Source organism: Homo sapiens, chromosome 2 (assembly GCF_000001405.40).
Source record: "Homo sapiens chromosome 2, GRCh38.p14 Primary Assembly".
In the NCBI taxonomy this organism is placed as follows: domain Eukaryota; kingdom Metazoa; phylum Chordata; class Mammalia; order Primates; family Hominidae; genus Homo; species Homo sapiens.
In genome coordinates this window covers 128,306,126-128,320,494 of record NC_000002.12, presented here as the reverse complement: position 1 = coordinate 128,320,494, position 14,369 = coordinate 128,306,126, and the positions used below count along the sequence as shown (strand labels likewise).

Sequence of the window (14,369 nt, the reverse complement as noted above, 5' to 3'; positions counted from 1 at the left end):
CGTCAAGGGGCTGCAGGCAGGTCCAAGCACACTGCAGGGCGGCCCCACCTGTGTCCCATGGGGACTGCACCCCCACTCCTATAGGAATGAGTCACTTCTGGAGAAGCTTGTCCAAGCTGCCCCCAGGACCCTCGGGCCAGGGACAGTTTTAAAGCAGCCTACAAGATGAGCAGGGGCTTTGGGGCCCTAGGTCCCACTGAGGACCCCACACCATGGACTCCAGGGTGCGCTGGGCTGTGTTGAGGGTTCTGCACCCGCCTGTCCACAGCGGATATTCTTGCGGTCCCTTTGGAAAATGCATGCCGCCCGCTCAGCTGGGTTTGGGGTGTTGGTTTTTCCAGCTCTCTGGGTTTGCTTCCAGGAGGGCTTTCTGGTGTGATGTTGTCTACGTTTAACAGCTTTACTGAGGCATAATTGACACCCCATGATCGCTTCCGGTCCCTAACAGAACGGAAGGCAGGGCACCACCCCGCCTCCCCCCCCACCCCGTCCCCGGCAGGGCTTGACGTGGACACTGGGAGCCCACGCCTGGCAGCCAGACTCGCTCCCAGAGCCCTCGCTGGCCTGAACCAACACACTAGGGCCCACCGCGGCCGGCCCTGCAGCTGTGAGATCCTGGCAGGTCCCAGCCCCACTCCTGCGCTTCCGACGGGCTGCAGCCTCCGAGTACTGCCAGAGCCCAAGCAGTGTGAGTGGGCACCTGGCGGGACCCCCCGCCCCACGAATGCCGCGCGTGCTTGCCAGGCTGGGCGGCGGCGAGTGAGGAGCCCGCACCACCCGGCCCACACACGAGCCAACGTGGAGCGAGCCCTCCGCAGCCAGGTTGGGCCCGGGCCGCTGGACTCTCCAACCAACCCACGAAAGACAGAATATTTGGTGGGCACTCACGATTCTTAAGAATTGGCTCAATGTTTTATAACTCTTTCATTGGAGTATAATAAACATGGATGGGGGAAAATGCACCTCGTCTGATATTCTTTTCAAACAAGGAGGAAGCCATAAAGCCGCTCCGCAGGCCTCTGCAGACAGCCCAACATCTCTTCAATGCGGGGCTGCGGGGCACTGTCCCAAAGCCAGCCGCAGGGGTGAGGGGGTCGAGCAGGAAAGGAAAGCCTCGCTTTCCCTCTCGGTCCTGGTGGTGGGCGGCCCCCGCCGCCCTGGTCCCTGGAAGTGCAGCCCAGTAGGCTAGCGTCTAACTTCAGCGCCCCAGCGTGCAAGGTCAAGGCCTTTCCTCCCGCGCGGGCTGCGGGGACGTGGGCGGCTGGGACTTGGGGAGGAGGGGGTACGGACCCAGGCTCCAGAAGCGCCAGCCGCCGCGCCCCCTCACCGCGGCCCCCGCCAGGAGAGCCTCCCACGCCTCGGCTCCGCACTGCCGGTTGGTCCCCCACTCCCCTGAGGGCGGAATCACTTCCCAGTCGCTGGCTGCCCGCCTGCTAGCGGCCTCGCCACCGCAGCAGACCCAGGTCCCGCGCCCAGCACCCGCGGCGAACCCCGGCACTCCGGAGGCGGGGCCGAGGATCGGCGCGGGCGGCGACGGCAAGAGACGCCACGGGGGCGGGCCAGGGGCGGACCGGGGCGGGGCGGCGGCGGCGGACTGCGGAGACGCGGCGGCGCGCGGGGCGGCGCAGAGCGTTCTCGGCGCGGAGTGGAGCGGAGCGGGCTGGTGCTGGGGGCGCGGAGAGCGCTGTGCTGGCCGGGGCCGGGAGCGGGGCCGAGCGGGAGCGGAGTCGGGCGTCGGGCCCGGGGAGCCGGGGCCGGGCGGGGAGCAGCCATGGCACCGCGGAGGGTCGGGGCCCGCGCCGCTGCGGGCGGCCTGGGCGCCGAGTAGCCGGGCCGGGCCGGAGCGCGGGCGGCGGCGGAGGCAGCTGCGCCCGCGCCTCCTGCCCTCCCAGGCCCCGCGCCCCGCGCCCGGGCCCCGGCGATGGTGACACATGCGGCGGCGGCGCGCCGGCGGCAGGACCATGGTTGAGCGCGCCAGCAAGTTCGTGCTGGTGGTGGCGGGCTCGGTGTGCTTCATGCTCATCTTGTACCAGTACGCGGGCCCAGGACTGAGCCTGGGCGCGCCCGGCGGCCGCGCGCCGCCCGACGACCTGGACCTGTTCCCCACACCCGACCCCCACTACGAGAAGAAGTACTACTTCCCGGTCCGCGAGCTGGAGCGCTCGCTGCGCTTCGACATGAAGGGCGACGACGTGATCGTCTTCCTGCACATCCAGAAGACGGGCGGCACCACCTTCGGCCGCCACCTCGTGCAGAACGTACGCCTCGAGGTGCCGTGCGACTGCCGGCCCGGCCAGAAGAAGTGCACCTGCTACCGGCCCAACCGCCGCGAGACTTGGCTCTTCTCCCGCTTCTCCACCGGCTGGAGCTGCGGGCTGCACGCCGACTGGACCGAGCTCACCAACTGCGTGCCCGGCGTGCTGGACCGCCGCGACTCCGCCGCGCTGCGCACGCCCAGGTGAGCGCCCGGGCGGCGGGATCCTCGCGCAGCTGCGCCCCCGAGGCCGGGCCGTATGCCCGCCGTGCTGTACTGGGTCGGCCCTGCCTTCCCTACCCCCTTCTGCCCTCTTGGGGGCCCCCACTCGCCGGCACCCCTCCCGACCTGCCGAGCGCCCGAGGCTCCCAGCTCCTCTGGGTGAGCCGGCTGTCACCGCGCTTTCTGACCTCGCTCTCACTCTCTTCCTTGCCTTGTGCTGCCCTACTGCCGGCTTGACTGCGCAGCGCCCGGGTTTTCTCCAGGGTCCCCGCCCGCTGCCCTCGGGCCACCTTACCTGCTGTGCGCCGTGAGGTCTGGCCCGCCGGACTTGGGGACGCGGGCTTCTGGGTGTGTGCGTGGCCTACCTGGAGTGTTGGCTTCCCCGTGCCGCTTCGGTGCTGTGGTCCCAAAAGTGGAAGTGAGAGTAGTGAGGTGCCGCCCCTGTGCCTGGAGTGCCTGCCTTCAGAGGGTGGGGGAGCTGCCAGGGAAGGGGGCTGGCTCTGCCCGCCTGCCTGCCGGTGTGTGCAGGTAGAACAAAGGCCCTGTTGACCTGGGGCTGGGGGCGGGGAGGAGGCAGTACCGCCTGTCCTCCCAGTGGGGCCTGCCAGCCGAATTCTTCCAGGCACAGGCTTGCCTGGAGAGAGGAACAAAAGCCACCCGATGGGGGACCACCTTCCCCAGGAAGCTACCAGCCAGGTTGGGGGTAGTTGAGCTGGTCCAGGGAACCTGTGCTGCCACACCCCTTCTCTGGGGTCCCCCAGCCCCATGTCAGAGCTGAGCTGCGTGAGGACACAGAGCATGGGAGGGGTGCCGGGGCAGCTCTTCTGGGAAGCCGTTTGTAGGGGAACCTGGGGTGCTGCTGGGTTTCCAGCAGTTAAAGTTGGGGTTATTTTCCTCCTGTTCCTGTTGGTGCCCATTCGTCCTGCAGGGATGCCCTGCGGGGCCTTTCTCCCCAAAGTCTGGGCTGGGAAGGGCCAGGAGCAGGGCTTCTTGTCTGCCTTTTGTTTCTCTTCCAAATTTGCCTTAGGACTGAATTTGCAGACAGGCTGGTGGTAGGAGGCTGGGCGGTTGTAGGCGTGTTGGCTGGCACTCTTGGGTCCAGAGGCTGTAGGCTCTCAGGTGTGCCTGGGGAGCCTGGAAGGTCCAGCCAGCCTGGAGCTGAGCAGAGTCCGAGACACTGCTCCCCTGCACAGACCTCAATCCTTGCTCTGTGGTCTTTCTCAGGCTGTCAGGAAATTGGGGTCCTAGAGTTGGAGGGGCATCTTCCCACTTTTCTTTCTCCCCCCTCCCCCAACTGTACACACACACACCCACACACACACACACACTGCAGCTCCCAGCCTGGGAGGTGATGTTCTGAGCCTCTTACAGCCACATTCTACACTTGGCGGTCACAGAGCTGCCTGTCTAGGGCCCCTGAAGGATTGCTTCCGGCCCAGCACTTAGTCTGCTCTGCACAGATGCACGTTCCTGCTGCAGGGCCCCCCTAACCCTGGTCCAGCTTCTCTGTGCTAGGCTCAGCTGTGCCTGGGACCACAGCCATGCCCCCACCCACCCTTCCACCAGTCAGAGCAGTAGGCTCCCAGAGTTGGTCACTGACCAATACCAACAGACGCCTCCCTACCTGTGGGGGGTGCAAGGATGGGGGTCACCCCCTTTGCCAGAGGGACTTAGCTCGGCAGCCTAAGAGGATTGCGTGGAAGCTTCGGGCCGCCAAGAAGCCGGAGCTTTTGAAACAAGCCTGCTCAGCAGAGGCCACCTCAGCCCTAGATTGCAACCAGGATGCTCTTCCTGCAGCCCCGCACGCCTGTGGGTCCCCAGGGTGAAGAGCCTTGGCCTCCTTTCTCTGGAGTTTGTCCATGAGAGTGGGAGGACCAGGTGGGGCCGATGGGGCCCCAGGTGCTACACCAGGAAGGCCCGGCTCCCCCTGCCCAGGGAGCATGTGTGGAGCAAGAATGGAAAACGCAGATGCCTCTGGCGGAGGTGGGCTGCCAGCCTGGAAATTGCTAGCTCAGCAGCATGCGCCAGGGTTGGGAGGGGCTTCCAGGGCCGTCAGGAGGCCCCCTCTGCCACCCACTCTGGAAGTGGGTTGTGCTACCGGGCAGGTGACAGCACCCCACCCTCCGAGTCCCTCTTCTCCGCCTCCACTCCCTTCAGTTCTGTTGCAGGCACTAGGTAGATTGCTTTTTTAATGAGCTTCATCAGGAGGCCAAGGTAATCTTGCCTTTGTGCTCGCAGGGCCAAGCTGCACTGAGGTCCACCTGCTGAGCGCTGCCCCGCCACCTGAGTCTTCTGGCCCAGGCTGGAGCTGGGCTAAGCTGCTCTGCTGTGGCGGTTGGGATGCACTTCCCCCATCTGCCCAGGGACCCAGCAACTCTCTATCAGGGGCAGTGCCCATCCCTGCTGGGGTGCCTCATGTTAAGTGGGCTTGGTGTCAGGAGACTCAGGTGTCACCCTGGCCCTCCTGCGATGTCTTCACTCTGGCTCTGCACTGCCATCTCCGTGTTCTCTGGGGACTGAGACCCTCTTTTCCTTCTATCTCTGCCTGCCTCCCTGCCCAAGGCTGGCTCCTGGAACCTCTCCACCAAGCCCCTCCCATTCCCTGCTGCGGTTTGGGAGGGTCTCAGTGGGCCTGTGGTGCGCGTAAGAGAGGTGGGGCTCTTCCCGGCTGCCAGCCTCCCCATTGCACAGTATCAGCCTGGGCTGCTCTGAGCTGGGCATCCATGGAGATGGACAGGTTTTTGATGTCTTCCTGGAATATGGTTTGGAACTTCTAGTGGCTGTTAGTGCTTGGCTGCCTTGGTAGAAAGGAACAAGAGTGAGCAGAGCATTGGCGGGTCCCTGTTTAGTCCTGTGTTCACCATGGGGGCTGCCTCATCTGCCGACATCAGCCAGGGTGCTTGTAAGACTCCACTGGAAGGACGTTTGCTGGCTGGCCTTAAAGAGGTGTGGCCATCCCCAGGCAGCAGCCAAATGGCCAGCCATTCCAGGGACCACTCGGTTAGAATGTCTCAGCACCCCACACTCCGCTGTCACTCAGAGGGTCCAGATGGTGCTCCAGAGCCAGAACCTCCCTCCTTCCTCTTCCCGTCTGCCTGAAGGCAACGCAAGAACAGGCATGGTCAAGGTCTTGCCCGGGCCACCCTGGAAATGTCCCTGAAATCATGTGGGCTTCATTTGGGGCCACGGAGGGCATCTGGAGCCCAAGTGTGGCATCTGGGCCACCTTGGCCGGGAACCCGGGACCAGCTCACATCCTCTCTGCACCAGGGCCTCTCTGGAGCCCTTAGTGGGCTCGCAGCCTCTGTGACGTTGCCCTGCAGAGACCAGTGCTTCCTTGCTGGAGGGATGGCGCAGGAGCCCGCAGCCTCGCCTTTGACCTGCCCTCCGTGATCCTGAAGCCTTCTCAGACTCCAGAAATCCGCCTGGTGCTGGACCTGTGTGCCGTCCACCTGGTGTGCCTGCTCTCCTCTCCCACTTTTCTGCCTGCTCCTCCCCTCCCTTCAGTCTGCTCAGATGCCCCTTCCTCCAGGAAATCTTCCCTGGCTTTCTGTTCCTAGGCTCCCCTGTTGCCTTAGGCGCCTCGACTGCTGTCCCATCTGACACCGTGCCACCTTGGCACTGCCCTCATGCTGGCACCATGGGAATTTTTTTTTCCTGGACTCTGCAGGATCTGGGCTCTGTCCCTGCCCTTTCCCTGTGACTCAGGTTCACGGAGTCAGTCTTGAGTGTCATGGTGTTCCCTGAGAACCTGGGGACTCCTTGGTGGGGCAGACCAGGTAGGGGTGGGCTTGGATGAGAGCCTTCGTTTCTGTGGCATGCGACAGTTTCCACCTTACCTTCATAATCGCTTTCTTCTTTGAGATCAAGGGAGAAACCCTCATCTGCTGTGATGGGGACAGATGTTACCCAGAGCATGTGACTGGGGCCAATGAACAGGACCTGGGGACCAGGCTGGGGGTGTCACTGTGCCTACATTGCCTAGAGAGGCCTTTGGTTAAGATGAGAAGGGAATCTGTGGTCAAGATGCTCCTAGATTTTCACTAAAAATAGATAAAAAATCCTTTTTTTTTTTTTTTAAGCAAACACATGATAAGGCAAACTTACGAATGGTTGGGTGACAGGATCGTTTTAGATGGTCCTCTAGCTTGGGGGATCATTTCTGCCATGCTGCTCTGGTGGTCTTCAAGCCACAGCTTCCTGTCCTAGGCACTTCACGCATAAAACTGGGGCCTGGGGACTCCTGCTCCTGGATCAGAGAGCCCAGTCCCAGAGAGTGCAGTGCCCACCTTGGTCCCTAGGGCCAGGGAATCCAGGTTTCTTTCTCAGCAGGAGTTCTGGCTGCCACACGGGGGAGTGGCCACCTTGGGTCTGGCATCCTCCAGGGCCCAGGAGGGAGGAGGAGAAGGGGCCTGGTCTTGTCGTCCTTCGGGGAGTTGGAGGCTTTTGCTCTCACACCCCGCTTTGTTGTGGTTATAATGATTGTTTGGTAGATGAGTGGGAGGAAAGTATGAGGCAGAGGGAGAAAAGGAAAATCATCCATTCCCCATGCATGGTTTTTCCACTGTAATTGAAGCCATCATATAAATTTCACCATAAATGTTGTCTGTTGTCATTAAAAACTTAATATTTGAGTGGCTGCAGCTGCTCCGCTCTGAGTGTGCCACCGCTGGTTGGCAGTGGGTGAGTGCGCAGGTTGCTCATTCTGTACTCTGTGGGGACTGCTGCAGGACTGCTCCTTGTGTGTAAATGTTCTGCATAGCTCTGATTTCCTCTGGAGATTCCTAGGAGTGGAATTTCTGAGTTGAATAGTCTGAATGTCTTTACTGCTCTTGGTACAAATGTTACCTTCCTCTTCAGAACACCCACTCCTGGTATGCTCCCACCTGTGGTCTGTGAGCACCCATGTCAGTGGCACACTCATTGGTACTGAATAGCATGTGAATTTTTTTTTTGAGATGGAGTCTCACTCTGTCCGGTGCAGTCTGGACAATGATGGCACGATCTCAGCTCACTGCAACCTCTGCCTACCAGTTTCAAGCGATTGTCCGACCTCAGCCTCCCACGTAGCTGGGATTACAGGTGCCCGTCACTACACTTGGCTAATTTTTTTTATATTTTTAGTAAAGACGGGGTTTCACCATGTTGGCCAGGCTAGTCTCGAACTCGGGACCTCAGGTGATCTGCCCGACTTCGCCTGCCAAAGTGCTGGGATGACAGGTGTGAGCCACCGCACCAGCCTATTGTGAATTTTTTTTTAAATTTATTCTCTTAAATCACCGAAAAGTGCTAATCTTATGGTTTTTATTGCAAAGCCTTGCCCAATGAGTACACCCTTGGGGTGGCCCATCTATGTAGGGCACTTGGGAGCAGCCATGCCCAGTCACCCACATGTCGCCACCTGCTCACAGGTGGCTGAGTTTCACCCCTGCTGAGAGAGGGGTGCAGCTCCCAGGGGCCTGGGGTGCACCCTCTCTGGGTGCCCATCACCATCCCATGTGGCATTTTGCGGGACTGAATTCCGCCTCTATGAGGAACAGGCGTGACAAGCCATGGGGGCATGTAGAGAGGCTGGCAGGGTGACTCTTGTCCCCTGCACACTTAGCAGGCACTTGGAATGGGTCATCTTGTTTGGACCCAACACTCCCCCAAGACAAGTATATGAAGAGCAGCCCCATTTTCCACACAAGGAAGTCAGGCCCCAGAGAAGGTGGAGAATGTGTCAGTCCCTCAGCCTGGAGGGCCAGGAGCTAGCATGTGGACATCTGTCTGTCTGTCCTGAAGGCTGTATGCCGCACCCAGCCCTCTGCTCCCAGCAACCCCTGCATGCGCATGGAAGGCTGTCTGCAGGTGGGGGCGATTGCCGCTGGCCCAGACCAGCCAGATGTAGAACACTAGGGCTTCTGAGACCTGGGCAGACATGGGCAGTTTCACATGTAGGCCTGTGTCGTTGCGTTTACTGGAAGACACCTGGCAGCCTTCACTCAGAGCAGAAGGACAGGCATCATGCCTGGGCTCTGGGCTCTGCAAAGGTAGTGCTGGCAAGGCTGCCTGAGAGTCGGCCCCTGGCAGCAGAGACTGCCCATGGCGGTGCTTGGCTCCTGGCGCAGTGTGGCCACCCCTTCTGCCACCTCCCCCATAAGATTGGGCTGTTTTCAGGTACTCCTCTGGTCCTGCACCACCGATGCCACCACCGGCCCAGGGAGGATCAGCCCTGCAGGAGGCAGTGCTGTGAGCCTGTGTGGGTGCAGGTGGGTCTAGGCCATCCCTCTGCTCCAGTGTCCTTGCTCTGCCCCAGTGAATGCTGGAGGGTGAGGAGATGGGAAACCCAGGAGTCTCCCCAACCCCTCAGCTTCCCTCTCTGGGTGCCATCACCATCCCATGTGGCATTTTGTGGGGCTGCATACCCCCTCTATGAAAGACTGTGGGGTGTTTCTAGGTCAGACCTCAAGCATCACGGAGGCAGCAGGACTGGGCTCAATCCCCACTTGGTGGTAGCGTGTGGTGGGTCTTTGGGTTTGAGGCGGGAAGAGCATGAGAAGCCGAGCTCTGGGGAGCAGTTACTGAGTGGTAGCATGTGGGGCCCAGTCAGATGGGAGCCCCACTGGAAGGGCTGCATGATTCAGGCGGGAGGCAGACTCGGGCCATCCCCTGCCAGCACTTTTCGGGCACTTCTCTGCAGCCACCTGGACACTCACTGGCACCTGCTCTCCTCTCCTTGAGGCCCACTCCACAGCAGTATTTATAGGTGAGGTGACATTTTGTTTGCAAGAAGGTTTTCATCTCTTAAGACTGTTCTTGCCTTCTCAGAAACTCAGTTGGCTCTGTGAAGATTTGCTGTCTGTTTTGGGTTTGGGTGGGGTATGTTATGCTGAAAAAAATAGTCCTAGACCTAGGGGATGAGGTTGCTCCAGCCAAATGACAGTGAGCTGGTGGTAGCCAGAGGTGTGGGCTGCAGTGCCCTGAGGGAGTGGAAAAGCCTCCCACACACAGGGTTTTGCAGGATGAGCGGGGTGTGGAGTGGAAGCAGCACTCAGAAAGCACAGTTGGGTTTCAGACACATCATGCGAGACCCCGCCACTCACAGCAAGGGGGGGCAGTGGAGATGGGACGGCATGAGTGGAGAGGGGCCCCTGCAAGCAGGCCAGTTGCTTTCTGACTGTGGGACTTGTGGCCTAATCTCTTTGTTCCTTTCCTGAAAGTGCCCCTTTCCTGATAGGGCATTGTCCCAAGTCCCCAGCTTGCAAGGGATGTTGTTTTGGAAAAACATGGCAGGTACACGCCCACACAGGAGTGTTCAAGTGCTGATCCCAGACCACCCAACCCAGGGTGGAGGCTGTTAGAGGACATTTAGGATCCACAGGTGGGCAGAGGGAGGATGTCCAGCCACCAGAGACCACACACATCCTACCCCAGCCGTGGTGAAGATGGGGCTGTTTTCCTTGACCATGGAGCAAAAACCATCCAGGACAGCTCTCCCCCTCCATGCCACCAGTTGCTCCTGAGCCAGCTCTGTGGGTGCTGGGAGCTGCGCTAAGGATTTGCACCTGTCCCCACCAGCTTGTGGCCTTCTGCTGCCGCGGTGCCTCTGCCCTGAACTCCCTCTAGGGCTCAGGACCTTTGGGGCCTCACACCTACCCCACTGTTGGTCCTTGATTCCTTGACTCACACAGCGTGTGGTCTGGGGCTGGGGCTGGGGCCCAGCTCACTGCGGGGGGATGCCTGTGGGGGTGACACGCCGCAAGTTCCACGGGGCCACCTCGGGAGGTCTTGGGTCCTCTCTGTGCAGACCAGGCGCTGAGGCTGCGGTGGAGGGCAGGGAATCCATAGGGATTCAGCTGCCTGCTCAGGCCCTGGGCTGTGTGTTGGGTGGGCTTCTGGAAAGCTCTGCTGGGAGTCCAAGGAAGAGAGGAGTGCCCTGGGCAGCCCCTCCTACCTTGTGGCTGGAGCCGGTGGGTCTCATGGGCCCAGATAGATACCTGTCTGAGCCTCAGTCTTCCCATCTCTAAAAGGGGGGTGGCAGTCTGCCATTTGGTTCTGTAGAGGAACCAGTGACTTATTAACTGTGACCGTGGTGACCGCATGATCCCTCAGCCACGGACTGTGTCCATGTCTTATGGGAGCCATGGCCACTCATAACCCCTTAGCATTCTGCAGCCTAGTGCAGGCCCAGTTCCTCATCTGGAGAGCGAGCCGTCAGCAGCTGTCCGCGTGCCATGGGGAGACTGACCGCGGGGCCAGGGCTTCAGTGAGAGGCAGCTCCCGACAGCCTGCACCTGGCCTGCCTTTGAAGGCCACACGTGACCAGCACAGCTGCCTAGGATTATTTACACAGAGAACGTTAAAAGGCCCAACAGGAGGGCCATCAGAGCAAATCACTAATTGTCTGGAAAGATACAAACTGGAGAGATTGAAACTCTGGAGTTAATTGTTTACGAAGCTTTGAAGGCCACAGAGGTCAGTGGCCGTGGGTGACCGCCCCCGGTGGTCATGGGCAGGGGCAGGGGCCTGTTATCTCCCTGTGACAGGGCCTCCTGCTGGGGCAGGCCTGGTCCTTGTCCAGGATCCCAGCTGTTCCCTAGGAGGGGCTCTCCACTGGTCAGCCCAGGCCGCTGCTCAGAAGCTGTATCAGGTGGACATCTCTGGGGCCAGCCCAGTTTGCATTCTAGCTCTGGCCCCATTCCTGCCTGGAGAAGTTGGGAACATTCAACCTCATTTTCTTTTCCCACCTCACGGAGTGGTAGGAGATGAGAGTTCACTCTGTAAGCTCCACACTATCCTTCACCCTCCACAGCAAACTAGGACAGAAGGTTCTATGGGTAACCCAGCAACAAGGAGGGCAGGTGAGGCTGGCCAAGACCCACCTCGGGGCTGGGAAACCCCGGGACCATACCAGGGGTGTCAGCAGAGCAAAAGAGAGGCCCCAGGCTTGCAGTCAGACCAGCTGGGCCAAATCCTGGCTTTGCATCTCACAGGCTTCTGCAGCTCAGGTTCCCCATCTGTAAAATGGGCATACTCATAGTGCCTGTGCAGGAGGTAGACAGTTGGAATTATACCCACAGTTCCACTGTGGCCTCTGTACTATAAGAGGCTAGAATCTGACCCATCTGTCCTGGAGACAGGGAAGAGACCTCCAGAGCCAGCTAGGAAGTCAGCTCTTGTTCTCACTCCATGAATTAGTTGGTTTGCAGGGAGCTTCCCTCAAAGCAGCTGAAGTCTGTGCAGGTTGGGTCCTGTTATCTGGGACATCACCAAGTGTCATCACTGGCCTTCCAAGGTGATGACCTGGAGCATGCTGTGTTTTGGCTGTGGGGGTCTCCTGCTCACCTTGGGCTATGGCCTTGGGACCACCCAGTGCCTTCCTGACTGTGCCCATTTGACAAAAGGCTGTCTCTACCAGGATCTCCAGAAAGCTCTGGCCCTCTCTGGCCAGCAGCCAGGATGTAGAGACTGTGCACATCTGTCCTGGTGCCCAGGTCGTGAGACCCTGTGGGTGGCAGCCTGACCCCACCCCCAGCCATCTGAGAACCTCGAGACCCAACCAAGAGGAACCCAGGGTCAAGAGGAGGAAGGGGTGGATGCCACGTGATGCTGGCCCTGCACAGAGGCTCGCCTGGCTGAGGGCCCAGGCCTTGTTCCTCGGATGCAGTGGTTCCTCCCTTCCCTAGACCCCACCAGCTGCTATCACCCCCTACATGGTATCTCCAGGGGTGTAACTGGGGAGCCTTGTGGAGTTTCACCTCTGTTCCCACTGCAGGCTTAGCTGGGTGCGGCTCGCAGGTGAAGACCCCATGCACTGTGCTCCACCCCACCCCTGCCTCCCTGCAGCCTCGCTCAGCACCACTGTCCTGCGTTTCACATGTTTCCTGCCCTTGTGTTTATGCTTTCGCTGTAGATGTGTGTATTCCTTAAATGATACACAGTGCTGTTTTGATGTTACTAACTTTCCAGAACCCTTATCAAACTCTGCTTGACCTTCTGCAACTTGCCGTCTTCACTCAGCCTTGTTTTGAGATTTATCCCTGTTGGTCCCTGACATGCGTGTTTAATTCATTGACTGCTGGACTTAACATCAAGGTAGTCCAGACGGATCTCTGCTTGGTTCTAATGCAGCTGCGGGGAGCAATTCACTTTGGCCATCACAGTCCAGGTGCGGCCACGGTGCTCGCTCATGGTCCCTATGTGTCCCTAGGAGTGTGTCAGAGGGAGGTTCTCCTCACCACCATGCTGTGCCCGTGGTTCCCGATTGTTTGGGCGGGCACTCTTGGCTCATTTCTGCCAGGCCAGGAGCCAGGAAATGGGACCTCTGTGCTCTTAGTGCATGTTTCCCCATGGCAGAGAGATAGCATCTTACCATGTGTTTATCGGTCAGTGAGGTCTCTTCCACCGACCTGTTCACGTCTTTGGCCTGTTTTCCCCTACAGGGTTGTTTGTGCTTCGCGTATTGGTTCGTAAGCGTTCTTTATGTGTCCTGGTGCCAGGTTCCATGGGTAGCATGCTCCCCGCTTCTCTCCTCCTGTTCATCATTTCTCCATGTGTGGACTTGGGCCTGTGGCATCCCGGTGCCTGCACCAGGTAGGGCCAGGCTGGCCCAGGTACATCCCATCTTCCAGCTGAGTCACATGCCAAGAAGAGGTATGCCTGCTGACCTCTGAACCCCATGGGACCCTGCTGGTGGTGAGAGCTCAGCTGGGGGCTTGTTAGTGTGAGCAGGTGGACAGATGGCAGCTGACCAGCATCCTCCCTGCAGCGTGCACCCCCCAGGGCCTTCCCTGGAGATCCTCAGCAGTGCCCACGGTGGCACCTGCACAGCCCTGAGCCCAGGAAGGCCAGACAAGCAGACAGTTCCTCACGTGCCAGGGCCCCTCACAGCGATTTTGCCGCATGTGTTGGAGTCCCTTTGAGATTGAGTTGGAAGGAAACCCAACTAAAACCGCCTAAAACCAGAGCCTGGAACCCACGGCTCTGAAGTCACAGGGACCCCCCCACCCCAACTCCCAGTGAAAATCTGGGTGGGCGTTTCCCAGAGGGAAGCCTGCCTGTGTCACCCCCCAAGCCCGGCCAAAGAGCTGAATGTCCACGCCCTGTGCCTCAGCCTCCCCCCATGACAGTGACGACACTGCTGTCTGTGCCTCCAGCCTGGTGCCTGGCCCTGCCCTCACTCCCCAGGCCCCTTGGGCACCGTCTGCTGCGGGCGCACCCAGGGCTGTCCCTGTGGGGCACTGCTGTATGGATAAAGCTTTTCGCACCCCCTCAGAAAGGAGCATGGGGGTGGTAGCCCCCTCATCATCCCAGCCTTGGAATGTGCCCCCACCCCATGTGACCCCAGCCCCATATTTGCAGTACCCCTGCTGCCATGCCCCCACTGGCTTGGGACAGAAGGGCCTACACATCACCATCCACCTGAGAATTAGAAAGCGCCTTCTGCTGCAGGGCTTGCAGGAACAAATGTTTACAGCCCCTAGGCGGCAGGGGGAGCATCTCCCCTCTGAGTTATGAGCTTTAGAGGCTCCTGTGTAAATATTTACCTCTCTAGAGCATTGGTGACCGTGGGAGATCGGGATCTGTAAGCACTGAGGTTTTCTGTTTGCGTCATCGTGGCCAGGGTGGGGTGGGGGTGTCGTCCTGGAGCAGGGAGCCAGGCTGTGGAGCGTGCAGCTGCGTTCTCCCTGGAATCCTGGTCCACATTCCCTGGCAGAGAAATCTTCGCAGCGGCGCGGCCACGTCCTCCAGCCCGACCACAGTTGATGGAGGGAAAGCCAGGGAAGGCACTGTCCTGTGGAGTGACACCAGCGTGCTAGCCCTGCTGAGGAGCGGAGGCACAAAGGAGGGCATTCCTGTCCCGAGGGTGCAGTCTGGGAGCAGGGAGGGGCTGTGACAGTCTCATTCAGGCC

General features: G+C 59.9%; 1 protein-coding gene across 1 annotated transcript in view, besides 7 other annotated features; it reads left to right on the top strand.

Annotated features, from left to right (window-relative positions):
- Positions 1,285–1,694: a silencer, noted in NCBI's record as "silent region_11949". NCBI's record gives its function as "represses an Ori minimal core promoter by ATAC-STARR-seq in GM12878 lymphoblastoid cells {active_cell/tissue: GM12878}" and the evidence as "EXISTENCE:reporter gene assay evidence [ECO:0000049][PMID:35858748]".
- Positions 1,627–14,369, top strand: part of HS6ST1 (heparan sulfate 6-O-sulfotransferase 1) — a 53,389-nt gene continuing 40,646 nt past the window's right edge. The window contains exon 1 of the mRNA NM_004807.3: positions 1,627–2,458. Within this exon, the coding sequence (NP_004798.3) occupies positions 1,932–2,458 (527 nt within the window). The 5' untranslated portion in view covers positions 1,627–1,931. The remainder of the gene's footprint in view (positions 2,459–14,369) is intronic.
- Positions 2,389–2,618: a silencer, noted in NCBI's record as "silent region_11948". NCBI's record gives its function as "represses an Ori minimal core promoter by ATAC-STARR-seq in GM12878 lymphoblastoid cells {active_cell/tissue: GM12878}" and the evidence as "EXISTENCE:reporter gene assay evidence [ECO:0000049][PMID:35858748]".
- Positions 3,620–3,769: an enhancer, noted in NCBI's record as "active region_16512". NCBI's record gives its function as "activates an Ori minimal core promoter by ATAC-STARR-seq in GM12878 lymphoblastoid cells {active_cell/tissue: GM12878}" and the evidence as "EXISTENCE:reporter gene assay evidence [ECO:0000049][PMID:35858748]".
- Positions 8,437–9,418: an enhancer, noted in NCBI's record as "H3K27ac-H3K4me1 hESC enhancer chr2:129068651-129069632 (GRCh37/hg19 assembly coordinates)". NCBI's record gives its function as "activates a minimal SCP1, AML or CMV promoter by ChIP-STARR-seq in naive H9 embryonic stem cells {active_cell/tissue: H9 hESC(naive)}" and the evidence as "EXISTENCE:reporter gene assay evidence [ECO:0000049][PMID:30033119]".
- Positions 9,419–10,399: an enhancer, noted in NCBI's record as "H3K27ac-H3K4me1 hESC enhancer chr2:129067670-129068650 (GRCh37/hg19 assembly coordinates)". NCBI's record gives its function as "activates a minimal SCP1, AML or CMV promoter by ChIP-STARR-seq in naive H9 embryonic stem cells {active_cell/tissue: H9 hESC(naive)}" and the evidence as "EXISTENCE:reporter gene assay evidence [ECO:0000049][PMID:30033119]".
- Positions 10,866–11,160: a silencer, noted in NCBI's record as "tiled region #5144; K562 Repressive DNase matched - State 8:EnhW". NCBI's record gives its function as "represses a minimal TATA promoter and a strong SV40 promoter by Sharpr-MPRA in K562 cells {active_cell/tissue: K562}" and the evidence as "EXISTENCE:reporter gene assay evidence [ECO:0000049][PMID:27701403]".
- Positions 10,866–11,160: an enhancer, noted in NCBI's record as "tiled region #5144; HepG2 Activating DNase unmatched - State 1:Tss". NCBI's record gives its function as "activates a minimal TATA promoter and a strong SV40 promoter by Sharpr-MPRA in HepG2 cells {active_cell/tissue: HepG2}" and the evidence as "EXISTENCE:reporter gene assay evidence [ECO:0000049][PMID:27701403]".